The sequence below is a fragment of the Homo sapiens genome, chromosome 1, assembly GCF_000001405.40.
Source record: "Homo sapiens chromosome 1, GRCh38.p14 Primary Assembly".
Classification (NCBI taxonomy): Eukaryota; Metazoa; Chordata; class Mammalia; order Primates; family Hominidae; genus Homo; species Homo sapiens.
Genome location: NC_000001.11, coordinates 25,024,085 through 25,050,535, shown reverse-complemented (window position 1 = coordinate 25,050,535; position 26,451 = coordinate 25,024,085). Strand labels below are relative to the sequence as shown.

The 26,451-nt window shown below is 53.2% G+C and overlaps 1 long non-coding RNA gene across 1 annotated transcript, besides 16 other annotated features; it reads right to left on the bottom strand.

Annotated features, from left to right (window-relative positions):
• Window positions 1-1,668: 1,668 nt before the first annotated feature.
• LINC02793 (long intergenic non-protein coding RNA 2793) lies at window positions 1,669-9,369 on the bottom strand. Its single transcript, XR_947090.3, has 3 exons — window positions 9,158-9,369; window positions 6,634-6,823; window positions 1,669-3,806 (listed from the first exon to the last, which is right to left on the bottom strand). It is a non-coding gene; the product is annotated as a long intergenic non-protein coding RNA 2793 (long non-coding RNA).
• Window positions 3,058-3,597: an enhancer, noted in NCBI's record as "H3K27ac-H3K4me1 hESC enhancer chr1:25373430-25373969 (GRCh37/hg19 assembly coordinates)". NCBI's record gives its function as "activates a minimal SCP1, AML or CMV promoter by ChIP-STARR-seq in naive H9 embryonic stem cells {active_cell/tissue: H9 hESC(naive)}" and the evidence as "EXISTENCE:reporter gene assay evidence [ECO:0000049][PMID:30033119]".
• Window positions 3,598-4,138: an enhancer, noted in NCBI's record as "H3K27ac-H3K4me1 hESC enhancer chr1:25372889-25373429 (GRCh37/hg19 assembly coordinates)". NCBI's record gives its function as "activates a minimal SCP1, AML or CMV promoter by ChIP-STARR-seq in naive H9 embryonic stem cells {active_cell/tissue: H9 hESC(naive)}" and the evidence as "EXISTENCE:reporter gene assay evidence [ECO:0000049][PMID:30033119]".
• Window positions 4,067-4,116: an enhancer, noted in NCBI's record as "active region_442". NCBI's record gives its function as "activates an Ori minimal core promoter by ATAC-STARR-seq in GM12878 lymphoblastoid cells {active_cell/tissue: GM12878}" and the evidence as "EXISTENCE:reporter gene assay evidence [ECO:0000049][PMID:35858748]".
• Window positions 16,015-16,074: an enhancer, noted in NCBI's record as "active region_441". NCBI's record gives its function as "activates an Ori minimal core promoter by ATAC-STARR-seq in GM12878 lymphoblastoid cells {active_cell/tissue: GM12878}" and the evidence as "EXISTENCE:reporter gene assay evidence [ECO:0000049][PMID:35858748]".
• Window positions 16,755-16,814: an enhancer, noted in NCBI's record as "active region_440". NCBI's record gives its function as "activates an Ori minimal core promoter by ATAC-STARR-seq in GM12878 lymphoblastoid cells {active_cell/tissue: GM12878}" and the evidence as "EXISTENCE:reporter gene assay evidence [ECO:0000049][PMID:35858748]".
• Window positions 17,815-17,864: an enhancer, noted in NCBI's record as "active region_439". NCBI's record gives its function as "activates an Ori minimal core promoter by ATAC-STARR-seq in GM12878 lymphoblastoid cells {active_cell/tissue: GM12878}" and the evidence as "EXISTENCE:reporter gene assay evidence [ECO:0000049][PMID:35858748]".
• Window positions 18,405-18,614: an enhancer, noted in NCBI's record as "active region_438". NCBI's record gives its function as "activates an Ori minimal core promoter by ATAC-STARR-seq in GM12878 lymphoblastoid cells {active_cell/tissue: GM12878}" and the evidence as "EXISTENCE:reporter gene assay evidence [ECO:0000049][PMID:35858748]".
• Window positions 19,371-19,420: a silencer, noted in NCBI's record as "silent region_450". NCBI's record gives its function as "represses an Ori minimal core promoter by ATAC-STARR-seq in GM12878 lymphoblastoid cells {active_cell/tissue: GM12878}" and the evidence as "EXISTENCE:reporter gene assay evidence [ECO:0000049][PMID:35858748]".
• Window positions 20,903-20,972: an enhancer, noted in NCBI's record as "active region_437". NCBI's record gives its function as "activates an Ori minimal core promoter by ATAC-STARR-seq in GM12878 lymphoblastoid cells {active_cell/tissue: GM12878}" and the evidence as "EXISTENCE:reporter gene assay evidence [ECO:0000049][PMID:35858748]".
• Window positions 21,433-21,522: an enhancer, noted in NCBI's record as "active region_436". NCBI's record gives its function as "activates an Ori minimal core promoter by ATAC-STARR-seq in GM12878 lymphoblastoid cells {active_cell/tissue: GM12878}" and the evidence as "EXISTENCE:reporter gene assay evidence [ECO:0000049][PMID:35858748]".
• Window positions 21,433-22,014: a biological region, named in NCBI's record as "H3K4me1 hESC enhancer GRCh37_chr1:25355013-25355552".
• Window positions 21,475-22,014: an enhancer, noted in NCBI's record as "H3K4me1 hESC enhancer chr1:25355013-25355552 (GRCh37/hg19 assembly coordinates)". NCBI's record gives its function as "activates a minimal SCP1, AML or CMV promoter by ChIP-STARR-seq in naive H9 embryonic stem cells {active_cell/tissue: H9 hESC(naive)}" and the evidence as "EXISTENCE:reporter gene assay evidence [ECO:0000049][PMID:30033119]".
• Window positions 22,015-22,552: an enhancer, noted in NCBI's record as "H3K27ac-H3K4me1 hESC enhancer chr1:25354475-25355012 (GRCh37/hg19 assembly coordinates)". NCBI's record gives its function as "activates a minimal SCP1, AML or CMV promoter by ChIP-STARR-seq in naive and primed H9 embryonic stem cells {active_cell/tissue: H9 hESC(naive and primed)}" and the evidence as "EXISTENCE:reporter gene assay evidence [ECO:0000049][PMID:30033119]".
• Window positions 22,424-22,473: an enhancer, noted in NCBI's record as "active region_435". NCBI's record gives its function as "activates an Ori minimal core promoter by ATAC-STARR-seq in GM12878 lymphoblastoid cells {active_cell/tissue: GM12878}" and the evidence as "EXISTENCE:reporter gene assay evidence [ECO:0000049][PMID:35858748]".
• Window positions 22,553-23,092: an enhancer, noted in NCBI's record as "H3K27ac-H3K4me1 hESC enhancer chr1:25353935-25354474 (GRCh37/hg19 assembly coordinates)". NCBI's record gives its function as "activates a minimal SCP1, AML or CMV promoter by ChIP-STARR-seq in primed H9 embryonic stem cells {active_cell/tissue: H9 hESC(primed)}" and the evidence as "EXISTENCE:reporter gene assay evidence [ECO:0000049][PMID:30033119]".
• Window positions 24,731-25,404: an enhancer, noted in NCBI's record as "H3K4me1 hESC enhancer chr1:25351623-25352296 (GRCh37/hg19 assembly coordinates)". NCBI's record gives its function as "activates a minimal SCP1, AML or CMV promoter by ChIP-STARR-seq in primed H9 embryonic stem cells {active_cell/tissue: H9 hESC(primed)}" and the evidence as "EXISTENCE:reporter gene assay evidence [ECO:0000049][PMID:30033119]".

Genomic DNA, 26,451 nt, shown 5'->3' with positions numbered 1-26,451 from the left:
CGGGTCCCTCTGCCATTCCCAAGACTCCAGAGAACACAATTCGCTTGGAAATTAAGGGTCCTGAGCTTGGACATGTTTTCACAATACATATACCCAGGCGCCACCCCACACATGCCGAATCAGACGCCCTCGGGGGTGACCTGGGAGTCTGCACCTGTCAGAGCTGCTGATGACTCTCATGTGTGCCAGACTTGGGAGCTGCTGGTCTATTTACTCTCCAAGGCCTCAGTCCTGACTTTCCAGGATGCTGTTTCTGGAACATGAGTTTTTAACTTACACAGGACATCATGTACTTTAAAGAGCACCCCACATGCTGCGCACAGTAGGCTGGGTGTGGGACTGCAGACATGGCGCAGCAGAAGTGGCCTGAGGTTGCTTCCCTGACACCTGTGGGAAGGGAGGTCCCAGGAGCCCCTAGAGCTGCCCTGCTCCAACAGCCTTTTCTATGCCAGCAAATCTTTTTCCTGAAAACCTTTCTACAGGCAATGGAAGGGTTGCTTGTCCCCATCCTGGTTCCCACCCTTTCCTCTGTCTTTATCTTCACTTTTTTTTTTTTTTTTTGCATCATCTGGGACAAGGGCAGCTGAGTTGGGGGACCCCAGGCTCCTCCCATCTACAACTGAACAGAATCAAATAACCACACACACTCTTTGTTTTCAGGGCAGTTGCTTTTGGCTGGGTTGTGGCTAATATGGGTCACAGGAGTCACCCAAGTGATGAGGATCAATAGCAGATCCAATTTTTCCTGCTTCAATTTTAGAGCATTTCAGGTTCACATTAGTTTGATGCAATTGAACAGAAAAGCAGCTGAGCAGCTGCCCAGATCCCAGAGGTCGTGCTGGGAGCTCCCCATTTTGTGGAAATGAACCTGCAAAGTCCTCTTCTCCCAGATGGGCCTCTGAGGCCTGCCAGGGCCATATAGGGGTCCTCTGCCCCCTTTCCTGCCCCAGGTAATCCCTCTGCTGGAGGAAGGAGGAAAGCAGTGGAGGGTGGGGTGGATGGCACAGCCAAGGCAAGGGGGTGCTGGGAAGATGGCCTGGAAGCTGCTTCTCTTCTTACCCCCAAACCAGGGTGTGGGGTCACCCTGGGCAGATGTAATTCTGCAACCTGCTTGCTAAATGCAGACAAAGGAGCTCATCTGTTTATTTTTAGTGCCTGGCAGCTGCCTGAGTCTCTGACAGGCTTAACAGTTCTGCTGCCTGGAGGAGGCTGTGTTGTGAGTGTGCGTGGGGTGGAGGGTGATTTTGGGGTCCCCAGATTTATCTTCCTTTCACAGGGCAGACATGTGGTTTACATGCTCACCATCACGACACCACACAATTGTCCCCAGTTCCTCAGACTTCAGACCTGGGATGAGGAGTGCAGAGATATATAAGGAAGGGTGTTCATTTCAGCAAAGGCCTGGAACTAACTGAAATGTCCATTAAGAGGGGAACAGTGGTTCATCCGGACAATGGAATCATAGTGGATAAACAGAATCTAGTGACATGAAAATGCACCAATCTGGAAAAATCTCCAAGACAGACTGCTAAGCAGAAAAATTAATAATAAAGCAGCACGACTGGCATGATGCCACTCTGTAAGAAAATGCATGACTATGTTTGAACCAGTGCACATCCACACAGCTCCGCCTCCGTAATCTTGGGAAAAGGATACGAAAGATTCATATGCTATGTTTGGAGGCTTTTACTTCTTCGTTCATGTACTTGACAAAAAAGCTATGGGAGTATGGGTATTTAGCCTTAGCCTTTCTGTTTTCTTTTCAGTATAAAATCTGCAATAGCTAAGAATTATGGTAGATGTGTATACATAAATATGGAAAGATTTCCACACTACTAAAAAAAGGCACATCAGAGAAAAATGTATATGGCTTGGCGCTATTTCTGTAAAGTAAATCCTACATATGTCGATCTCTGTGATATCCATGTGGAGTTTTTTTAATGCACATAAAAGGGTCTGTAGAATAGACACCAACCTGCTAGCGGGGCTCACCTGCTAGGAGGGGCAGGGGATTGTAGAGAGGAGAAGAAGGTGAAGGGAACTGTCACTTTTTAACTCCTAGGGCTTGTGACACCATCAGAACATAGGGACCCTGAGAAATGGGGACACATGGGCAGTGAGGAGGGGTGTGGGGCTCAGAGGCCCTGGTGATGGCGATGGTGATGGGAGACAGGTGGCTGGGGTGACTGTCTGTCTTTGAACTTCACGTCCTGGGATCTTCTGCTGCTCCTCCTGCTGCCTCGGAGACTCAGGGGCCAGGAAGGGAGGGGGACACTGTAGGGAGACTGCGTGTGTATGGTGGGGTGGGGAGCAGGTACGGGGGGCTTCTCCAGGGGCTGGCCCCTGCCTGTCCCTGAGGTTGGTGAGTAGCTAGGGGAGCTCTGAAGTCCTAACCTGCTCCCAGTTCTTCCTCCTCTCCCAGCCCTTTCTGGTGACCAGGGCAGGCAAGCATGGCCTTGGACGCTGGCTCTCGCCCCAGGGACTGACCATGGCAGACACATCCACAGCCCCTTTTCAGAGCCCTAATAAGTCATTCGTGTCTACCCACAGAGGCTGGACCTGGCCCTTGGCTGATACCAGCCACTCACAAGTCCCCAGGGCCTCCTGACTGCCCCTAAACTCCACTGAATAAATGAATAAGTGAAATGAGAGGAATAACAGATCTGCTGGTCACCTGGGGAACTGGAAGCAAAGAGAATCCTAGGGGGCCCATGGGCTAACGGTCCAGCTCTGAACAGGAGGGTGGACGCTGGGATGAGAGGGCGAGGAGAGGGCCCAGCTATCCCAGCTCTGGGGTGGAGAGCATGGTCCCAGCAGAGCCAGAGGAGTAAGGAAGGGTTCACAGGACTGGGTCGGGGGGCCACAGCACAGGGTTCCTGCCGTGTGCCCAGCCTGGGGCTGCTACTTTGCTGTGAGGACAGTGTCCCGATGGGCTAGGTCCAGGGAAACCTCAAAGAGGCTGTCGGGAAGGACTGTGTCTGGAGGGGCCAGTCTCTTGTAGCAAGTGGGTGCTACTCCTGGCCTCTCTGCTTTCTAGCTGTGTGACCTTTGGTAAAGGACTTCATCTTCTGAGCCCTAGCTTTCATCATCTATAAAACAAGGGTAATCATGGCACCTCCCTCACAGGCCTGTTTAGGATTAAAATGAGAGGCTGTATTTATTTAAAGTGCTTTGTGCAGCCCCCAGCATTTATTAAGGGTTGAATAAATGGCAGCGATTCTCCCTGCCCTCCACCTCATTCATATGAATATTATGGATTCGGGGTCTCGGAAATGCACAGCTACTCAGGGGGCTAGGCTGGATGATTCAAGGACAGGATTTCATGAGGGGAGAGGCTGGATGGGGACTTCTGAAGGCATTCTCTAAAGAGCTGGTGCCCAGGAAACGCTGCCTCCCTGGGAGCCACACACTGTTGTGGGTTTGGGTCTAGGCCCCGCCAGCCTTGCCCAGGACGAGGTCAGAGCTGGTCAGTGGCACATGGAGTTGTGTGCAAGTGTGGGTCTGCAGAGCAGCTGGGTGAGTGGGGAGGGCTTTCATGCTCTGGGGCTGAGGCCGGGGTGTCTGATCCTCCTGCTCCAGCCCTGGGGTTGGGAGCTCAACAGCCACTTCCTCAAAGAATCTTCAAGGGGCCATGACCTTGACACGATGCTGCCTGACCTGAGCAGGGATTCCCATGAATGCCTCCTTGAAGCCATGTGCAGTGGGATGGACAGATCAAGGCAAAACCTTGGCCCAGGAGCCGAGGCGGGTGGTGTGGGAGCCAGCATTCCCCAGAGGACGTCCTGCGTGGCCCCTTTGGTAGCAGCCTTGAAAAATAGAAAGTGGAAAAAAACAGCCCCCACATTAACTTGCAGGTGAGCAAATGGGCCTGGGAGGGGTGGGCCTGGGAAGGAAAGCATTTCTTCCTAAACCTGGAACCTGGCCTCCTTCAGGGACCTGGCCTCCCTGAAGGAGGCCAGCTCTAGGCCAGGCTGGTCACTTCCCTGAGTCTCAGCGTCCCCATTTGTGACACGAGCTTCACAGCTGGCCTAATCTCCCCAAAGATAAAGCTTTTTGGAACATGTAAGCCTCAGTTTCTGCATCTTTAAAATGGGGAAAATCATAGCATGCACCTCAGGGGCTGTAGTGAGAGTTAACGAGTTGATGTAAAGCACCAAGGCACCAGGCCCAGCCCGAAATACCAGACCGTGTCCAAAGCAAAGGCGGTGGGGATTTCCCCCGTCCCCTCCATTTTACAGAGGAGCAAATGAGGCTCAGAGAAAAGTGGTTTGGCAAAGCTCACCAGCAAGGCGTGGGTGCAGCTGAGACTGGTCACTGGCCCACTACCCTGCACCTCCCGGGCCCCACCCCAGGCCCTCCTTTGTCTCCCGGGGCTGGCGTCAGCAGAGTGCAGGCCCCTGTGGACCCACAGAAGTAACGCAGGTGACAGCTCACACCCACCCCACCCGCTGTCACCTCCTCAATTCCCAGCTCCAGCCCCGGGTGGACCTGTGGTCTGGACCAGCTGGACTCCTGTGGCTGGTGGTTGAGACCCCAAAGCCACAATCAGCCAGGCTATTGATTGAGGGACCCCTGCATGGTGGGACACTGAAATGGGTGGCAGGGCCGGGCCCAGCCCTCCAAGAAAGCAGTTTGTCTCTGCTCAGCCTTGTGGTCGTGGGCAGGGGGCTGGGCTTTGGAAACCCAAGGGGAAGCAGGCCAGGGGCTCTTTGCCAGTGGTCAGTGATGACAATAGCCAACACTTATTGGGCCCACACTCCACCGTTAACCTTTTCCCAGATGAGCTCATCTAATCCTCCTGGTTCTTGGAGGTAGGTAGTACCATTCGCCTCACTTTACAGGAGGGGAGACAGGAATGCATTGAATACCCTGCCCTGGGTCATACCACAAGGCAAACAGCAGAACCAGGGTTTGAACCCGGGCCATCTGGCTCCAGAGCCTGAGCTATTTGTGCCTACTCTACAGGGAAACCAGGGCCCATTAGAGGCCCATCCTTGAGGGGGGCAGAGGCAGCTCCTTGACTGGAGAGAATCAGAAGCCACTCAAGGCTCATGTGGATTAGTACCCACAAGGCCTGTCCCTGCGGCGGAGGCCTGAGCTGAGCCCCCAGGGACTCCACATCAGGCAGTTGGTGCCTTGGTCCAGCAGCAGGGCTTTGGGGCCAAAAGGCATGGGCTGCGTGAACTGGGATAGGCTCCCTACCCTTAGTTTGGAACAGACTAAAATCTCTGCTCTCACGAAGAAACCGAGCACTATGAGGGAAGATCCTGCTAAGGGGTCATGACTGCTTTCTGGGATAACATGGAAATCCAGGTGTGCTCTGACTGCTTTTCTGTCCCAGAAAGGTGGGGCAGGAGATGCCTTCCCCAGAGGTCCAGGGACCCAAACTCCAATAGGCCTGTCCAGCGGTGTCCAGCAGCCTAAAGCCTGGGTCACAGGACCCTCCTGGCTGATGGAGGCCACCCACTCCCTAGCCTGTTGAAGTTGACTCTTTCCTCCTTCATTTCTTCCTTCCCTCCCCATCCCTTCCCTCCCCATCCCTTCCCTTCCCCTCCCTTCTTCCTTCTTCCTTCCTTCCTTCCTTCTTCCTTCCTTCCTTCCTTCCTTCCTCCCTTCCTTCCTTCCTTCTTCCTTCCTTCATTTCTTCCTTCCCTTCTTTATTTGTCTTATACCAAGAATAGTCAAGACACTATTTTAAAATTGGGGGCAGGGCGCAGTGGCTCACGCCTGTAATCCCAGCACTTGGGGAAGCCAAGGCAAGCAGATCACGAGGTCAATAGATCGAGACCATCCTGGCCAACATGGTGAAATTCTGTCTCTACTAAAAATACAAAAATTAGCTGGGTGTGGTGGTACGCGCTTGTAGTCCCAGCTACTCAGGAGCTTGAGGCAGGAGAATCGCTTGAATCCGGGAGGCAGAGGTTGCAGTGAGGCAGAGGTTGCAGTGAGGTGAGATCGCACCACTGTACTCCAGCTTGGCGACAGAGCGAGACTCTGTCTCAGAAAAAAAAAATTAGGGTATAGTTTACATATAATAAGAGTCACCCTTTCTAGTATATAGTTGGATGAGTTTTGAAAACATATACAGTTGTGAGAACATTTCCATCACCCCCAACAGCCACCCCACACTCCTTTGTTGTCAATCAGTTTCCACCCCTGCTACCTGGCCACTGGCCGTCACTGATCTGCCTTCTGTCATGATAGCTGTGTATTTCCTAGAATTTCATATGTACTGAATCCTATATGATGTGTGCTTTTGTGTCTGGCTTTTCCACTTAGCATAATGCTTCTTTAGGGGACTATAATTCATTTGAGTTCATTTTTATAGATGGTGTGAGGTAAGGTCCAAAGTTGCTGCTGTTGTTGCTGTTTTGCATACAGAGGGCAGAGGATTTTTCCCAGGCCTTGAAACCTGATGGAGTTTGTCTGATTGGATTTTGAAATTGCTTGGGACTGGTGACTCCTTTTTTCCTTCCATTTTCTCCCTATTTGAATGGAAATGTCTATAACTGTTGTCTTATGCTGTCCCACCACTGTATTTTGGGAGCAGAAAGCTTGTTTTCTAGTTTCACAAATCTGCACATCCAGAGGAATTTTGCCCAGAACTGATTATATCCTCAGCCCCACCCATACCTGAGACTTTGCAGATGTGATGAAGGATCTTGAGATAGGGAGAATATCCTGGATTATCCTTTTCAGATGGATGCAGGAGGAGTCGGAGCTGGAGGAAAAGGCGATGTGATGACAGAAGCAGAAATTGGAGCGATGCACTTTGAGATGGAGGAAGAGGCCACAAGCCAAGGAATGCAGGTGCCTCTAGAATCTGATAAAAAGAAAGGGAATGGTTTTCCCTCAGAGCCTCCAGGAAGAAACACAGCCCTGCTGACACCTTATCTGTCTCAGGGAAAAATCTGAAATCTTGACCTCTGTAGCTGTGTGACAATAAATTTGTATTGCTTAAAGCCACAGTTTTTTTTGTGGTAATTTGTTTTGGCAATAACAGGAAACTAATGATGGCAGCAGCGGGCCATCTGGAGGGGCTGCTGCCATCACACCGGCTTCATCAGGGAGGCATGGCTGGGGCTGCATTCTCCATGGAGCTGGCAGGAGCCAGGGACAAGCAGGAGCTCCACCCCCTTCTGAGTTGGGGCGGGATCTCCGCTGGTACCACTGCAGCCACCCCAACCATGGCTGCGGACCCGGGCATCCCTGTGCTCTCGGGACCTGGGAGCAGGTGGGAGCCCCACTCTCCTGGGCGGAGCCACAGCTGCCCAAACTGTGGGTGTGAACCCAGGCATCCTTGCATTCTTGGGGACCCAGGAAGGGGCTCCCTGCCTTCACAGGCTCAGAAGTGCCCGCTCCCACTGCCTGGATTCTTTCTACTGTCGGTGCCTGCTCCGATCTCAGAGCAATGTGGGGCCAAGCCTGTGTGCTATCACAGCCAGGCCAGCGGTGCACACACTTGGGGCAGCACTGACATTCTGGCTCCCTGCTGCCTTGGCCCCCTCCAGACTTTGGGCACTGACAAACGTTGGGGAGGAAGCTGAGGGGGTTGCTGAGGGTGGGTCGACGCTGGCCTGCAGGTGCCCATTGGTGGGTGCAAGCAGCCTGGGGGCCATGAACAAGCCTGGGAGCAAGAGGCAGACAGGCCAGGGAGGGCTGCCATCTGCCTTCAGAGAAAAGCAACCCACCCCAGGTCCTCCTCTCTGCTGAGAGGACAAAGAGACGATAGGATGACCAGCTGTAGAGAGGAGCTAGCCTCTCTGCTGAGAGCCGCAGAGACAACAGAATAACCTGCCTGCAGAGAGAAGCCACCCCCTCTAGGGCCTCCTCTCTGCGGAGAGCTGCAGACAACAGGATGGCCAGCAGCAGAGAGAAGCAACCCTCTCTGCTGATAGCTGAACACTTGTCAGGACAACTAGCTGCAGAGAGGAGCTACCCTCTCTGCTGAGACCTCAACACTTGTTGGAACCTGCCTGCAGGAACTACACGCTCTGCTAGGAGCTGAACACTCATCGAGACACTCTGGCTGCAGAAAGGAGCTACCCATGGCAGGTCTCCTCTGAGCTGCGCTATTGCTCAGTAAAGCTCCTCTTCCTTTTGCTCACCCTCCACTTGTCTGCATACTTCATTATTCTGGATTGCAGGACAAGAACTCAGGACCTGATGAATGGCAAGGCTAAAGAGCTGTAACACAAACAGGGCTGAGATATGTCCCTTGCTCGCCATGCCACAGGCAAAGAGGAGAGAGGAGCTGCAGCCCTTCAGGGAGCTCAGGCCTGGGTGCTCCCTGAGCCAGACCTATGACTCCCTCCTTGGGTCCCTGTGGTTCCTGGCATCTCCAAGCTTCCAGGTGCCACTATGTTCCCAGTGCCAGCTGTGGATGCTGCTTGCAATGCACCTGGTCCAACCACAGACTCACAGAAAGCTGGCACTGGTGCTGGCACCTGGAGCTGCCTGCCCCACTGCAGCAGCCACACAGAGGTTTCCGGCCAGAAAAGTGACACCCCAAAGATCCCGTAGCACTAATACACCAACTCAAATTTGAAGAAGAATATTAAGAAAGCCTTGTCTTTTTAGAGACGATGGCTTATTATAAAGTGTAGTGATTCAAGGAGGATGTTCAAAAAATGGAAGAGAGAACCTCTGAACGCACCCACTTATAAATGGGCACTTCGAACGTGGAAGACGTCAGCATTTACAGAGCAACCTATTTAATAAAGAAATGGTGCTAGGCTAACTGGCTCTTCACACAGAAGAGATAAAATGCTATTCCTACCTCACACCAAACATAACGTACATTTCAGATGACCCAAAGCCCTGAATGGGAAAGAGCAAAATTTAAAATTTTTAGAAGAAAGTAATTATTCATGACATTGGGGGTACAGAAGTCTTAAAACAAAAACAAAAACAAACTAGATACAAAATTGAAATAATAAAATAAAAAATTAATAGTTAAGACTACATCTGTATTGAGCATATACTATGTATCAAGCATGATCTGCTCCACACTGCCACCAGAGCCACACATCTGACCACACCTGTGCCTGATTGAAGCCTTCTGAGCAGGGTGGTGCCCAGCCCACCAGGGGCAATGCAGGCCTACTTCTAGAGCAAAGGTTCCCACCCTCTCCTGAAGGCATCACACCCCACACACCTTCATTGCTTTCCGGCATTCCTTAAATACAACACCCTCTTTCGTGTCTCTAAGCCTTTGCACCTGCTCTTCCTTCTGCCTGGAGTGCATTCTCTTATTCACCACCTGGACAACTCCAGTGCATCCTTAAACGCCCAGCTCAGGTATCATGTCCCCAGGAAAGCATGCTGGCTTGCTGCGGGACTACTGCCTGCAGGACAACAGGCAATGTTGCAGTTCTCTCATCTCCACAAGCACTTACCTGGTGCTGTTCATTATGAAGTCTTTGCTGCTGCTTCCATTATGAGGGAGGTCCCTGGGGGTGAGGTGGGATGATGCATAACGTGATAGTTGAGTGTTGGCTCTGGAGACAGACAGTCCTGGGGAGAAATTCCAGATCTGCCATATTCTTGACAATGACCTTAAGCTTTCTGAGCATTTGTTTCTGTAGAGTGGGGCAGCAGGCCCACCTCCCAGGGGTGTTGTGAAGGTGAGATGAGATGACATGCGATGTGTTCATACCTGAGTTTGGGCTGATCTGAAAGCAGACCCTGCAACTCACACTAGGATGTGAGTTGCAGGTAGTTCATTTATGATCCCAAGGAGTACCTGTAAGGGGGTGGGGAAGAAACCAGGGAGGAATATGCATTAGCCAGCAAGTTATAGCTGTGGGCAACCGGGGCTCCATCCCACTGGGGACCCTGGGAAGACAGCGTAGAACACACCTGAGTGACCCCAGCTGAGCGGGGAGGGAGCTGAGTGTGTATTCCTCGGCTCTGTTCCAACATTGCTTGAGGGTCACTCCTAGGTGTGTGCTAACTCCCAGGACTCTGGCTTGCCCCCAACCACTGACCAGAGAACATTGTTGTGGGGCAGGGGGAGTTGCAGGTGCTGTGGTTGGAAGCTTTCCCATGGGCATGAGCCACAGGAATAACCAAGGCACGCGGGCGGCACTGCCATCTGCTGCAACCACGCATGCACCTGTGCGCAGTCACCAGAAGTTGCCCATTTGTTTTCTCATTTGTTTCCACAACCATCCTGGGAAAGGCATTCTGCCCATTTACAGATCAGGAGACTGAGGTCCAGAGAGGTTACCTAAGAAGACATTTGTTGAATAAATGAATCAATGAACAAGTGAACGCACAGACCTCTCTGAAGTGGTGAATTAAGTCAATCTGAGAAGATGAGAATCCAAGAGTCCCGATTCCCAGCTGAGGCTTGCATTCTCTCCCCTCATGCCCAGCTATCTCTGCACAGTGCTCTGCCGTCTCGAATCCCTTTCCACTCAGTAATCACTGAGCCAGTGGTGACTCCATGTTCAGGCTCAGGGGGGAAGCCCACTGGTGTAGGAGATTTGAGTTCTGGTCCTGGCTGTGTCTTCATCTGCGCTATGATGTTGGGTATGTCCTGGCCCCACTCTGGGCTCAGTTTTTCCATCTGTTAAATGGGAATGGGTGGATGTTAGATCAGCTAAGTCCCCCAGGCTGTTGGAACAGTGGGGAGGCTTTGGGTTGGGTTGCCCAGACTTGCCAGGTCTGGCATGGGAGATGGAGGGAACTGATGTGTCCCCTCTGCCCAGCATCCTGCTTGACAGGGCTGGCAGCTCAGTGGTTACAGCATCTCCTGATTTGGCCACACCTGGCTCTGAGGTCAGATTTTGGCCTGATGCAACGCTGGTGGCAGGCTTCACTCCGCAGACACACACTTCTGACGCTGGCCATGTTTGAGTCCTGACTTGGGCCTATTTGCTCTTTGACCCTGGTGATGGATGAAGTCCTGATTTGAACATAAACCGACGGCTGTCCCTTGTCACAGACTGATCCCTCAGCCAAACCATACACTGACTCCTGCCGGGGTACCCACTGACTCCTGATCCAACCACAAACCTCTGGCCCAGGCTGACTGCTGACCTTGGCCCCACGCTGACCACTGGGCAGCGGCTGGGCAGCCTGAGATTAGTCACTGGTGTTCCTCAGCCACTCTCCCCTGCTGGTGGACTTGAGATACAGCCCTTGTAAGTAGGAGAGTCCCCTTACTCTAAAGGGGACACACTGGACGAGACAGCAGGAGGCACTATTGACTGGGCCTCTCTGTCCCACCATAGCCGAGCACTGCCACCCAGGCTGGCTCTGCCTCCCCCAGGCTGGGATTCATCACCCGTGCTTGGTTCAGTAGCCTTTCTGGAGACTGCATCGTGCCCCAGTCCTTTGGGGTCCCTGAACTTTGGGGGTGCCAGAAGTGATGCATTCCATTAGAAACTAAAGAACCTTGAGTTACTCTCGGAAGAGCTCTGGTATGGAAGGCAGAAGACCGAGGCATGAATTCCAGCTATGCCACAGACTCACTGTGTGACTTTGAGCATGATCTTTCTGGGCCTCAGTTTCTCCATCTGCCCTGCCTCTTCCCTGCCAGATGTAGAAAGTGCTCCTTAACTAGGGGCATCTATGAAATGGGAACAACAGCGATTTCTAACTCAAGGTTGAATGAGATGAATCAAGGAGACAGTTGCCTCAGGGCCTTTGCACGGCTATTGTCGCTGCCTAGAATGCTCTTCCCCCAGACACCCACATGGTTCTTTCTGCTTTCTGCTTAAATGTCATCTCAGGGAACCTCCCCTGACCACACAGCTTAAAGTACTAACACCTTCCCCAAATGCCTTCTCTCCTCCTCCTAATTAATTTTTCTCCAGAAGTTATTATATGATCACTGGCACACACTGTATGCTTTTATTTTGCTTATTATCTTTCTCTCATGTCCAGAATATAAGTCTCATGAGGTCAGGAATTTTTGTCTGTTTTGTTCACTGTTGTGATCCAGCACCTAGCACACAGGTGCATAGGAGATGCTCAGTAAATATATAAATGAATGAATGAGTAAATAATCCATGTAAAGTACTTAAACTGCAGCACCCAGCACTAAGTACTTAATGCATGGTACTTGTTGTTGTGATGATTGTTGTCACCAGTGGGTGATGGCAAGGAGTTGGATCTTGTCTTTGAGACAGTGGAGCCCCACCTCCTCCTGGGAGCCTTCCAAGACTACTACCGTCCAAGCCTACCACACTCACTCAGAGCTACAGGGGTTATTGCATGGGGCAGCTGAACCAGCCGTTGACTTGAAATCAGCCAGTGTGGACTCCAATGGCAAGGTTACATCCCCTTGCTAAGCCTCAGTTTCCTCAGCTGTCAATGAAGGTGAATACAAGTACCTACCCCATAGGATGGTGTGGCCTAAAAGAAGTGGAGCATCACCAGTGCTGAGTGCAGTGCTGGTTGCATGGGGTGGCCATTGGCTGTAATTCCTGGAACTCCGGCACATGAGCTCTGTGTTCTGTTCTGGGGCCATCTTGCCTCATCCTGTGGCCTGTGAGTCCCTGGAGGGACTGGAACCTGGTGCTCTTGGTCCCTTGCTACCCCAGCAGCCTGTGGTCAGACCTGGGCCTATAAGGTGGAGATGCATCCTCATGGCAGGGGGATTGACAAAATCGAGACTGTGCATTTGCGTACTGCCAGTCACAGACACCAGGGGGCGGCCTGGCTATGTGTGCGGGGGGGTGGGGAGGGGAGGGAGGGGAATGGGGCTGGGGCATAAGGTGGGGTGGGGTGGGGTGGGGTAGGGTAGGAGGGATGGTAAGCAGGGTTAGGGGTTTGCCCTGGCTGGTAACTTTCAACGTCCCTCTTCCAGAGCCCACCTTGTCTTGTTTTGACAGACAGGGAGATGTCTGGTCTATCTTCCCATCTGTCAGCTGTTTTTTGAGTTCTGGTTGGGAAAGAGCCCAGGAGACCTAGGTTCTTCAGCCTGGCTTTGCCACTCACTTGCTGCATGACCTTGGGCAACGACCTTTCCCTTTCTGAACCTCAGTTTCCTCAGCTGTCAAATAGAAAATACCAGCCATAGTGTCCCATCATGTGGTAGGTTCCAAGGTTTGTCTCAATTTTGTTTTTAATCAATAAGTGCATTCATGCCTGCCACAAAGTATTGCCTCCTCTTCCTCCTAATTCCTTCTTCCTGGCTGATGGCCGATCTCACCCTATTATACATGTTGCCCTCTGTTGGCTGGCAGTAGAACTACAGCTTCCGATACTGCCCTCAAGTGCGGCTCAGGGGAGGAAGGAAGAGGTGCCGGGGGAAGGGTTTGAAGCCCAGTGTTACCGATCAATTCACTTATTCAGCTAACATTTATTGAGCCCTTACTGTATACCAGGCCTGGTGATAGGCTCTGAGAACACAGCAGCGCAAATGATATGGCCCATGCCTTCAAGGAGATCACAGTTACTTGCAGGTTTGCACACCTGGGATTTTCTTTGGCGTGTCCCATGCTCCTTCCATCTGACAGTGAGTGTAGTGGTTAGGTGCGTGGACTCTGCGTGTTGGGATGTCTGAGTTCAAATCTTGGCCTTGCCATTTACTAAGTGCCTGGCCTTGGATAAGCTATTTCACTTCTGTACCTTTGTTTCCTCGACTGCAAAATAGGGATAATAATACTACCCACCTCATAGGGTTACTACAAAGGTTGAATTAGTTCATATATCTAAAGTAATTAAAACAGTGCTTGATCAGTGGTGCATAGGTGTCAGCTAAAATAATATATAGTAAATATTTGTTGAGAGATAGAGGGACCAATATGTACATTTCTCCTACCATCCCCAAGGGGGTCTGATGTGAAGGTCAGGTCAGTTAAGCTCATTTTGCAATTGGCATTTTCCATTCGGAATGTCCTCACCTGCCTCAGAGCACAGAGGTTCATTTTCACCCACCCTTGGCTGGTCCCACAGGGTTCTGGGTGAAGCCTGAGCTGGGTATCCCAATTACCAGCAGGGTAATGGTAGAAGCAAGATGATTAGCTCAGTCTCTAATGCAGACCATGTGTCAATGGCGGTGCTGGCAGTGCTTGTGGTTATGGTGTTGATGGTGGTGGTGGTGATGATGGTGTTGATGGAGATACTGGTAGTCTGATAGTAGTGCTGGTGTCAATAGGGATGGTGGTGATGGTGGTGTTGATAGTGATGGTAGTGATTGTAGTGGTGATGACGTTGATGATGATGCTGGTAATCAGATAGTAGTGCTGGTGTCAGTAGTGACGGTGGTGATGGTGGTAGTAAGAGTGGTGTCAATAGTGATGGTGGTGATGGTAGTGGTGGTGGTAATGATGGTGGTGCTGATGCTTGTAATGGTGTTGATTGTGGTAGTGATGGTAGTGCTGGTTATGGTGTTAGTGGTGATGATGGTGGTGTTGGTGGTGGTGTTGATGATGTGGATGGTGGGGATGGTGTTGATAGTGGTGATGGTGGTAGTGGTGGTGATTCCAGTGGTATTAGTGATGGTGGTTGATAATGATGCTAGTGGTGATGGTAGTGATGTTCATGGTGATGATGGTAGTGTTGCTGGTGATGGTGATTATGGTAGTGCTGATGATAATGGTGGTGTTGGTGTTGATGGTGGTGCTGGTAGTGATGGTGGTGTTGATGGTAGTGGTGGTGGTGTTGATGGTGGTAACAGTGATGCTAGTGGTGACTGTGGTAGTGTTGATAGTGGTGGTGCTGGTGATGGTAGTGGTGCTGGTGGTGATGATGGTGGTGGCGATGGTGGTAGTGCTGGTGGGAGCTCTGGGGTTTGGTTCAGGAGACCTAACCTCTTCTCCTGGGTGAGCTCACTCTTCCAGCCACAGCTACCATCAATGTTCTGGGACAGGAAGATGGGATAGAGTCTCCCTCTGAACTCTCCAGAGACCTTTTTTGAACCAGAAAAAGGAAGTCATCATTGGAACATCAACTACCCTTCCTTATCCTGCCTGTAAGAACTGTGAGGTAATTTTTTCTCTGTGCCTCAACTGCCTCATCTGGGAATGGGAAAAGGGAAAAAGCATCCTGGTCCTGAACATGTTATTTTTGTCTTTGAGAATCTGATGAAACCTGACCCTCCTCCTTGGGAAATGCAGATAATGTGTGTATATGAACACACACACACACACACACACATACATACACACACACACACATACATACACACACACACATATCCCATAATTCCACATGGGATTTGCGGTTCCCAGCTCTTCTTTAGGTCCATGGACTCTCATTCTGTCCCCACGATGGGCTAGCCTCTACCTCCTCTGCCAGCTCTGCCATCCTGAGGCCCACTCTCCAGAAGCCTGAGCTGGGACTGGGCAGTGGTGCCAACAGCATCAGGAAGCCTGCTGCTGGAGGGCTGCTCCGGGCCCCGCCCAGCCTCCCCCTTACCCCTTGGCTGCACCACAAAGGCTGTTTGGGCTCCGGGGTCTGTGGAGGGCTCTGCCAGCCTGCAGTAGACGGGGGTTTGGGTGCCACAGTGTCAGTGGCAATGGCGTCTCTGGCTGCTGATGTGGGAGAGGTGACTTCACACGCAGCTCCTCCAAGAGCACGGCCTCCAGTGACTCAGTGGAATCAAGGAAAGAGATTTGCCACCTCTCACCCAATGGGGGGAGGCAGGGGTAGAGGCAAGCAAGAGGAGTCCTCCCCTCAGGAGGTGCCAGACCCCACTCCTTGCATATGGAGTTCAGGGGAGGGGCAGCAAAGAACGGGAACCCTTGAGATCTGAGTTCCAGTCTACCTCCAGCAAGAAGCCCTTCCTGTTCACAACACAGTACGGAGCATCTGCGCGCCCCAGGAGCCCTGGGAGACGAGGTTTGCTGTCTTGTAGGAAAAGGCCCAGGGGCCTTGGTTGACTTGGCCAAGGTCCCATAGCTAGGAAGGAGCTGAGTGAGGCTTGGGCCAAGTGCTACCTCCCAATGCAGTGCTCTTTCCAGAACCTCACGGCCCTGCTACCCACTGGCTGTGGGACCGGGGACAATCTCCCTCCTTTCCCACCTGCCTCCTCTGTAAGGACTCTTCGGGGACTTTCCAGCTCTGGCCTTTCAGGACTCCCCATTTTCACTGTCCCTCTGAGGCGGCGGGTGGTGGGTGATCACCCCATTTAACAGACGAGGAACAGGTCCAGACGGGGAAGCAACTTGGCTGAGGCTTCAGGGCGAGGAAGTGGCAAAGCGGGGCTGAGAACCCAGGTCTGTGGACCCCCAGCCACAACATCAGGGGCCCCGGCCGGACCCAGGCTTCTAAGAATGCAGTGCTGGTCCCAGAACCTGAGAACAGGGACTTTCAGGCTGGCTGGTTCCCAAGTGTGAGTGCAGGAGGGCCTGGCTCGGCAGGGGGTGGGAAGGGGCCAGCCACTTCCTGCTGGGGCTGGTGCGGTCCCCATGCGGTGGCCATCAGAAGCTGGCCACTTCCTGGTCTGGGCTGCCTTCCCCTTTCTGAGCCTGGGAGGGAACGAAGGAGCGGAGTGAGGTGCCCTTGCGTGCTGCGGCCTGGACGACGTCTGGCCTCTTTTCATTTCCCCTGCATACCGCTTCGCTCTCCACAGCCACCAACGGTCGGAAGCTTCTGGGAGCTGACTGCCAGGTCCCCTGTCCACAGCCGAACCCCTCCTGCCTACGGGCTTCCTCCTCCCTGGGGCTCAAGGGACTCCTAGCCCTGCTGGGGGTCTGCCCACCAAGGGCCTAGAATGAGGCATTGTCGTTTGTACCGAGGCTGAGAGGTGGCCATCGGTCTGAGGTTACACGCACAGCCAATAAGTGGCAGAGCTGTAATTGGAGCTCAGATGTGTCTGACTCCAAAATCCACATCCTTTGCATATTTAACAACCCCCTGTCCCCTCAGAGGAAGTCTGACCAGAGGAGGCTTGGACGAGGGGACATGGAATGACCCTGCTAGACACTGACCTCTGAGGCCAGTGATGGGACCAGCTTCTCCTTCCTGTTAGATCCTGGAACCCAGCCTGGTGCATGCCCCAGAGCAGGTGCTCGCGACACTGGCAGAAACACAAAAGGCATCCTGACTGTTCCTGTCCAGCTCCTGACACTCATGAGCACCTGCTGCATACCAGGCCTGGGCGTGGAGACACAGGACCAAGGGAGAAGACCTTGCCCCAAGATCGGTGGCCATCTTCCGTACCAGGCTTAGTGTGGACAATGTTTAAATGCACCTCAAATTCCACATGCAAGAGAGATCCTTTAAGTCCTTCCAGCAGGAAAGCCAGACCTGGGTTGCACAGGGACCCCCTCTGGTGCAACAAGGAGGTAGCAGGGTGTGAGGATGAAGAACGTGGAGCCAGGCAGGCCTGGGTTCAGATCCCAGCTAGACGAGCCTAGGGTGGCCTTGGGGAAGTGACTTCATGTACCTCAGTTTCCTCACCTGTAGAATGGGAATCAAACCATAGAAAGTGCCTTACAAGACCTCCCTTCAACCCACTCTGGATTAACAAACACTCTCCCTGTCCTTTGAAAGAGAGGCTAGTAGATGCCACAGCTTCCTGAATGTTCCAGGCAGGCCGGCCGCTGCTATTCCCACCTAGGCGGCTCCTCTGACTCAGTGAGGCTTCTTCCCAGACCTGCAGCTGCTGGCTGTAGTGGCCGAACCAGGGAGACCAGAATGTGAATGGGAAAGAGAGTCGTGTCACAGAAAACCAAGAAAGGACTTTGCAAAGGCCCAGTTATAGGCGAGTTGTCAACGGAAGAAAAAAAAAAAGTGCTGCCAAATGAGGTGTGGGCAAGACAGCCATAAAAGACTGGGGAAGACAATAGTTAAAATCCGTCACAAACTTTCATTGAATTAGGTGTAGACTAAAACTGGAGGGAGGGGGTGATTATTAAAAATCCAGAGGGAGTCTAGGGAGTCTGTGCTCAGATGGCTTCACAAGCATCTCTAAGGTCCCACTCCGCTTTAAAGGACTCCTAATGAGAGCCATAAACGCTGCTGCACAGGTTGGTTTTATGCAAGAAAAACAAGGTAGGACACCAGCTGGGGGCCTCAGTCTCAAAGACAGCCTTGGCCCTGCATCAGAAGATCATCTCATAAAAGTACACGCGCACGTGTTACGTTCAATAAAATGCCTACTTTATGTATCATATGATTTCCTGCATTAATTTTTTTTTCTATTAACCAACCACTGGTTTTGCTCTCATTGGATAAGAGGCTTCTGCTATTAATAGCACTTACCTCACTGGGCGGATGTGAAGGCTGAACGAGGTACCGATGCAAAGTGTCTGGCGCGATGCCTGGCACACAGTAAATGTTCAGCAAATATTAGCTGTAATAATCATCTCCAAATCCAGAACTCTCACTTGGCAGATGAGAAAACTGAGTCTCAGCGGCGTGGAGTGAGCGGGCTGCAGACCAAGGCCTAGAATCTGCAGCCCGTGTGAGAATCGCCCACATCTGAAACCCAAGCCTGCGTCTCCCCAGGGCCTCTCTCGTTGCATATTTTGGAGGGGGTGTCACTTCCCTGAGGAACGTCAGGTGGAGGTCACGGGAGCAGTGGTGGGTCCCTCAGCATCCTTCAGGATCATTGCACCCCAGCCTCCCACTGCCCATCCTACTCGGTGGAGGTCTGAGTTTTCCCTCTGGTTCAAGCTTAGGGTCAACCCTAAGCTTGTCTCAGTGACTCTCTCTGTGTTCACCGATCTTGTGTATTTTTATCTCAGAGGCTTTCATTCGTGTCTTTAATTATTTGTTTCAATGTCTGTCTCTCTTCTGAACGACTGGGAGTCCCCCGGGGAGCAGGCCTGATTCATCTGGAAACCCTGAACCCAGCCCAGTGCCTGGCTCCAAGCAGGGGCTTCACGCGTGTTTTTTGAACAAGTGAGCAACGGAACAAATGTGAACAAGTGGGGGTCCCCAGTGTCTCATCGTCTCTGCACCAGACTTTCTGGCCAAGGTTGTAGCAGAGAGAGGTTCACACTTTGTCTGACTTTGGAACCAGCCAAAAATGCCTCCAGGATTCATGGATTCCCTGCCATGGTACAGGCCCAGCAGCTGAGGCCCTAGCCTAGTGCCCAGACCCCTCCCGCTCTTTGTTTTCCTCCTTTATCCCTCCAGCCTCCATCCCTCCAGCCTCCATCCTTGTATTGCTCCAGCCTCCATCTTTCCATCTCTCCAGCCTCTATCCTTCCAGCCTCCATCCTTTCATCCCTCCAGCCTCCATTCCTCCCATCCCGCCATCCTTCTATCCCTCCAGCCTCCACCCTCCAGCCCCTATCCTTACAGCGTCCATCCCTCCCATCCCTCCATCTTTTCAGCCTCCATCCCTCTAGTCTCCATCCCTCCAGCCTCCATCCTTCCATCTCTCCAGCCTCCATTCCTCCAGCCTCCATCCCTCCATCCCTCCAGCCTCCATCCCTTCATCCTCCATCCCTCCAGTCTCCATCTCTCCAGCCTCCATCCTTCCATCCCTCCATCTCTCCAGTCTCCATCCTCCTCTTCCTAGGGAGCCTGAGAGTGTCTGGCAGGGCAGAACAGACCCTGGGAAACCCAGCCCTGGAGTGAGGCTCCCCTCCAAACCGTGAATGGGGTGTGGTTTGGGGCTTTGTCTCCTCTGAGTCACCTCCATGGTGTGGTGGGGTTGACTCAGACAGAGAGTGAGAAGGAGAACTTGGTTGGTCCTCCTGGTTTCCACAGGTCCTGAGACTGGCCAGGGTGGGGCTGGGTGGGGTGGGAGGACAGGGAGAGGCCCACACTGAGGAAGGTGTTAGAACCACACACTGGGAGGACTGACATGGATCTCAGGTCCCCGGGAGCATCTAAACCCCACACTTTCTGCTCTGGAACAGTGAGGGCTGGAAGCAGCAAGGTGTGGCGGAGGGAGGAGTCTGACTCTGTTCTTACCTCCTCCCCTCCCTAAATTTCAGACTCTTCACCTTACACCAAGGGGGTTAGTTCCAAATCCCCTCTAGCCAACTTCCAGCCTGAGTGCCAAGGCCAGGCTTTACCTAATGACCATGGGGACTGGAAGAGAAGAAAAACAGCCAGACGCAGTGGCTCATGCCTGTAATCCCAGCACTTTGGGAGGCTGAGGCGGGTGGATCACTTGAGGCCAGGAGTTCAAGATCAGCCTGGCCAACATGGCAAAACCCTCTCTCTAGTAAAAATACAAAAAAGTTAGCCAGGTGTGGTGGCATGCACCTGTAATCTCAGCTACTCAGGAAGCTGAGGCAGGAGAATCACTTGAACCCAGGAGGCGGAGGCTGCAGTGAGCTGAGATCATTCCATTGCACTCCAGCCTGGGTGACAGAGCAAGACTCTGTCTCAGGAAAAAAAAAAAAATAAAAGAAGAAGAAGAAGAATGACCAAGAGCTACCCTTATTTGAGCACTTACTGCATGCTAAGGACTGGCTGATTGTTCCATATGCATGACCTCATTTAGTCCTCATGATAGCCTTCCAGAAACCCACTTTGCAGATGGGGAAACTGAGGCTCAGTAGAACAATGACTTGCCGCAGGGCACACTCTAGGCTAGATGGTGAGCTGGGCTTCCCAGGTCTCTTGACCCCCAAATCCTCATCCTTGACTGCTTGCTCCCAAAGTTACTGTTTCCCCTCATCACCTGCACCCCAAGATGCTCAAAGTGGTATCTTCTGATTCTAAGAGGGTCAACCAGGGAGGCCAGCCAGGGCCACTGGTCTCTGACCTCTCTTGCTTGTTGACAGCCCCCGGGGGCTGTACTGCTGACTGCAGCCTCCCCAGACCATCTCTCCCCAAAACCCTGTCAGACAGCTCTGGAGGAGGCATTTGGCTTTCCTTTTACGGTTTTTCTTTTCTTTTAACTTCTCTGCAACAAATATAGAAAATACAGATAAGCACAGGAAAGAGCAAGAAAATCACATTCCTTATCATCTTCATTAGAATAGTGACATTTGGGTGCATTTCATTCCAGTATTTTTCTTTTATGCACTTGCATTGCCAGTTTTGTTTTTATGAAGACAGGATTGTTTGTCAACAGACATTTCCTGAGTACCCACTGCGGGTGGGGAGCTGTGCTCCGTCCATCAGCGACAGCTCCGCCTCTCCCCTCGCAACAGGTTCTTCCCTGAGAAGGGCTCCCGCTGCTGGGCTGGGCAAGATGGGCACCAGGAGAATGGGGCTTTGCAGCCTCGCAATTCAGAGCCAAGCTTTGGAGAAGGTAGATCTGGGCTGCTGGCTGTGTGGCCGCGGGGGTGCCGCTTGGCATCCTTTTCAAGAGTGGAGTGGCTTCCTTTTCTGTGGAGTGAGAGTCACCACTTGTCACACAACAGGTTTTGAAAATTAAATGGCCAAGTGAATGGGAAGGGTTTGGCGCCAAGTCGGCGCTCGGTGAGTGTTTCGTGGGCTCTCTGTGGGTCTCAGGGGACCTCTGTGTTGAGGGCATTTTACTTCCTGGTGCTCTCAGGGAGCAATGCTGGACCCAGGACTTGGGAGACACCTCATGACAGTTCAGTGATTCAAATCTTGCCTCTTGGCTTGAGGCAGGGCCTGGAAAACCTCTCACCGCCCTGCGGTGTTTCCAGAAAACACAGGCTCTGGCGCAGTCATCTTCCTTCCCGCCGGTTCCTAATATGGGTGTGATTTGCAACCGAAAAACCAAAGCCAACTTCACAGCTGAGACCACGAGCTCATCTCTCTTTGGGTTCTGTCCCAGCTCCCCGAGCCCTGGGGCTGATGAGGGTGGCGGAGGAGAGTCAGGGAGAGAAGGGGACCTGCAGAGGACGGAGGTGGGGTGCGGACTCGGATGAGGACTCAGGCGAGCTGCAGGGCCCAGAGGCACTCGGCCCCCCAGAGGTGCTCAGTACATGTTTGCCGAGTGAACACGAGTGAATGAGGAAGCCAGCTGAGGCGTGCGCACTGGGAGAATGGGAGGAAAGAAGCCTTCATCTTTTCTGCCCATATTTCAAACCCCAGTGCCCGCCGCAGAGCCTAGGGGCACCCAAAGGGCCCAGCAGAGAGGAGAGGAACAAACTCACCTTGCTGGTGGCTGCCCTCAGTCTCAGATGCCACTCTGTGACCCTGCCCTGGGCTCTGACCACCTCATTCCCCTGCAGCACCCCCCATGCCCTCTTAGGTCTCCCAGCTCCCATCTTTCCTGGGGAGCTTAGCAGGTACCATGCTGCGTGCTTGACTCTGGAGGATGGCACGCTCATGGTGGACTTTCCGGCACGCAGGGAAGACATTCTAGAAGCCATCTTGCAGGCAAGCAACTGCTCCACCCAGGGATGAAGCCACCATGTGTGTCGAAGCCAAGAGCCTAGCCAGCCATCCCCAGTGGCCCTGCTGCCTGGTGGCAGGAGGCAGCTGACTCTGGGAAAGGACCCAGAAAGAAGAGGAAGAAGGGGCTGGGGGGCTGCACGTGCTGGAGCCACTGTGGGGTCCTGGGAAGTGGCCTCTCCCTGCCTCTGAAATGAGGGGGCTGAGCCACAGGCCTTCAGAAGGGCCCCCAGACCTCTGCCCCCTGGAGGCACATCCATGGGTTTTGGAGGACAGAGAGTGCAGAGGAGGCTCCCAGCTGGAGGCGGTGGGCACCCCATGGGGAGCAGTGGGCAGGAGTTGGACTTACGAGGCAGGGCCGGCCCTCACCAGGGAAAGGAGGAAAGTGAGTAACGGTGACAATAATATGACAACTTCCATGACTGAGCACAGGGAGCTGGAAACTTCTCTCAAATGATCTCCTTTCATCTGCAAGACCGCCTCTTGCATGGCAGGCAGCAAAGGCCAGGGCATCTGGAGTCGGGCGGGCAGTGTTCATGCCAAACCTCACACCCTCGTCTCCTACTTGGGATCCTCAGAGCCTCTACCCTAGAGGGTGATTGGGCCGTGTCAGAGAGGAGTCACTTGGAAGAGTGTCTGGCAGAAAAACGGGGCTCACATCCTGTGATTATTATTAGTATTATTAATGCAGAGATGGAACCTCAGAGAGGTGAAGTCACTTGCCCAGGGCCACACAGCAAGTAAGTGGTGGGGCCAGCATTTGATTTCAGACTGTCCAATTCAAAACCTTAGTCCTTCCCCAATACCTCCTGGCTTGGCTTCTGTCTTACGTCCCTTCTGGTCCCTCAGGAGGACAAAGTAGTTAAAACCACAGTTGCCAGACAATTGCCCTTAGGTCCCATCCATTTCAGAGGAGAGGGATTTGCCAGAAGTCACACAGATAGACCTGGCCAGGGTGGAACCCTCAGTGGACAGACTCTCACGCCAGAGCCCCCCAAGTGTATCTGTGGAACCTGACAACAAGGTCACCCCCTTTCTGGCCCCCTGTTCCGCTCCCACCTCCCATGGGGCACAGGAAGTGATGGCTGAGATCCATTTCAAACCACAGGGGAAATTTTTTGTCTGGGCTGTACTGGAATCCCGCCAGGGCTTCAGGTCAGAGGTTCTCAGTCATATGCAAAAGACAGGGGATGTAGAATGGGCTGGGGAGGGGGCATTGCATTCCCATCACTACTTGGCCTTGGGATTCCCCTCGCCTGATCGGGCAGCTCTGAACTAGGCAGGCTTCCGAGTCTCCATCCCAGACTTGACTGCCCGGATCTTCCTGAGGTCATGGTCAAGTCAGGCCCTGGTCATCTCAGCTCCACGTCTGATCAGAGCTGAGTGCTGGGTGAGGCACGGCCGACCAGCCTCCCCTGCTGGCTCTGCACACTCACTGTGGGACCCTGGACAGGTCTCTCATCTTCAAAATCATCAGCTTCCCGCTGTCTCAGAATCCTTCCCAAACTTCCCTTCTGGGATTTCCAGGGAAGCTCGTCATAAGCACTTCTGCTTCTGCAGGACCAGCCTCCTGAACCCCAGCACCAAAAGAAAAGCTAAAGAACATTTTAAAAAATTTTTATTTTAAGCAGAGCAGGTGCCTGTGGCTTCTATCTTGTCCACCCTCCCAGCTGGCATGAGGATGCAATGAGCTTGGAGGAGAAATCTTTGCTCTGTAAAACTATAAAGGGCTGGAAAAGAACTGCAAACCATTCCTTCTTAGGCTGAAAGCTTCTGGAGGACAGCTGCTGGCCCCCTGCCGAGGCCTAACAGAGCACTGACACTCAGGGCTTTCCTGGGGGCAGCTTGGCTGGCAATGGGTAGTGTCCAAGTCTCTACAGCACACAGTGTGCCCCATCCCTGAGGCTGGCAAGGCTGAACCGTAAGGCAAGGGTTGGATCAAAGCAGGAATCGAATCTGGCTGGCACAGGTGTGAATAGTCCCAGACAGACCAGAGCTGATTTCCAGGGCCCTCGATACATTTATTATTATTATTATTATTTTGAGACAGGGTCTTAGCTCTGTTGCCCAGGCTGGAGTGCAGTGGTGCAATCACAGCTCACTGCAGCCTCGACCTCCTGGGCTCAAGCCACCCACCCGCCTCAGCCTCCCAAAGTGCTGGAATCCCAGGTGTGAGCCACTGTGCCTGGCCTATTACTATTATTATTATTTGGCGATGATGGTGGGGACTACTGGGCAGGGAACCAAGAGTCAGGATGCTAGCCCCTGCTTTAGCATGGCCTCCCTGGGAGTCCTTGGACAAGTCCCCTGCCTTTGCTGGGCCTCAGCCTTCCCCTCTGTACAATGGGGGGATGCCTATGATTCTGGGGCCAGGGCAGAAAGTTGGAAATGGGCAGAGCAGGGCCTCAAGTTTTCAGTGCATTTGTGACTTTCAGTTTGGAGACAGGCAGCTCTGGCCTTGGTGGAGATGGCTCTCCCAGCGTCTGTGTTTCAGAAGACGGGCTGGGAGTGAGGACTCTCAGCTGCAGTCTCCCATCCTTCCCCAACATGCCTGAGCCTCCAGGTTCTGCCCCGCCCAGTCAAGCAGGGTTCCCTTCCCCAACCCCCCAGTGAGTTGCTGTATGACCTTGGCTAAGTCACTCTACCTCTCTGGCTTCCATTTGGGGTAACAGAGTCACAAAGGCCTCAGCAAAGGGCAGCCTGTCCTGGCCACCCACTCCCCTCCCTTTGGCCACATATCATCCCTCCTATTGTAGCACCACTGAGCTGGGAGAGCCTTGGGGGATGGTGGAGGCCAAGTGTCCAGTTTCACAGGTGAGGAAACTGAGGCCCTGAAAGGTCTGCCCAGGGCCAGCCATCTCCAGTCCTCATGCCCTCTTTCTCTGCAGCATCGCTCTGTAGTAATAAAGAACACACCCAAATGACAGAGGCCGGCAGCTAGAGCTCCAGCCGACTTCCAAATCCCCAGGCTTCCACATTCCCAGACTTCTTTGAGCCCCTCTGTCCTTGTCTGTGGAACCGGGATAGCAGCAGACTCTGCTCACAGGCAGGGTAAGCCCTGGAGGGAGGAGGAGGGCATGAGAAGCAGTCTGAGGACACCGGTGTCCAGGGTGGCCCTCCTTCTCCCCACTCCCCCCAGGCCCCGTGCAGCGGCCCAGCCTCTCTCTTGCCATCCTTTGGCTTCCTGCCCTCAGTTTCCCCCTCGTGCCTCCCTGGCCCGTGCTGCCTCTTGCTAGGCCTCTAGGGCAACCAGGAGAACCCCACAGAAGAGGCAGCAGTGATGGCAGGTGGTGGGCACCGAAGCCCAAGCCCCTCAACCGTCCTCAGAGCATTTGATGTCAGAAGGCAGTATTTGTTTCCAAGGCCAGCTGCACTGCTGCTTGGTGTGCCCCTGCTCCTCTGCATGATTCCTACCTGGCGTGGCTGCTGCTGTGGCTTCTTCCGTGGTCATCTATCCTTTCCCCCCTTGCTGGCCTGGCTGCACCCCCTGAACACTGCATTGCCCCTGTTGGCGTGGCTGCTGCAGCCACTGTAGCCCTTATGTGGGCAGAAACGGCAGCGCCTTTGCTGGCATGGCTGGTCTGTGGTCAGATAAGCTGCTCCCCACCCACCCTGGCATGGCCACTGGGAAGCACGCTGTGGTCCACTGATGGCCTCTGCTGCCAGGATCCAGGTCTGAGGCCACAGCTGTCTGCATCAATGGCAGTGCTCGAGGCACTCACTGGACATCTCTAGATGGCGGCTGCTGTTCCTTCAATGGGGGCAGCCCAGCCTCACTTTGAAGTCCATCACTCAAGGGACCCCAGCTCCTCCAAGACCCTGGACCCCCAAGACTCTCTGTGCCCACCTCTTCCCAGAACCTCTCTCTGGCCCTGGTGATCTTTCGACTCCCAAGGATGGAGCTGAGTGGTCCTTTCTTACGGGACTTCAGGGTAGCAGAGAGTGGCAGCAGGACAGGGGACCTTCCTCCCTGCTCCCATAATGCTCCAAGGCCATCACAAATAGCCCGGGATCTCCAATAGCCCGTGGCACAGCTGCCCTGGGAGAGTAGGCTACTCTGAGACCGCCTGTCTCCCCCAAACCCTCATCAGGCAGCAGTTTCAAGGCCTGTGTTCTCCAGGGGGCATCAAAGGGATTTCTGTATAATGACAGAGAAGCTTCTGGAAAATTTTCATGGCCATTGGTGCTCCAGGCTTCTCCCAGCCTCTGGCCACCTTGGTGGTACTTATTCAGTCCACAAACCTTGGGGACCTACTGTGTGCCAGAGAC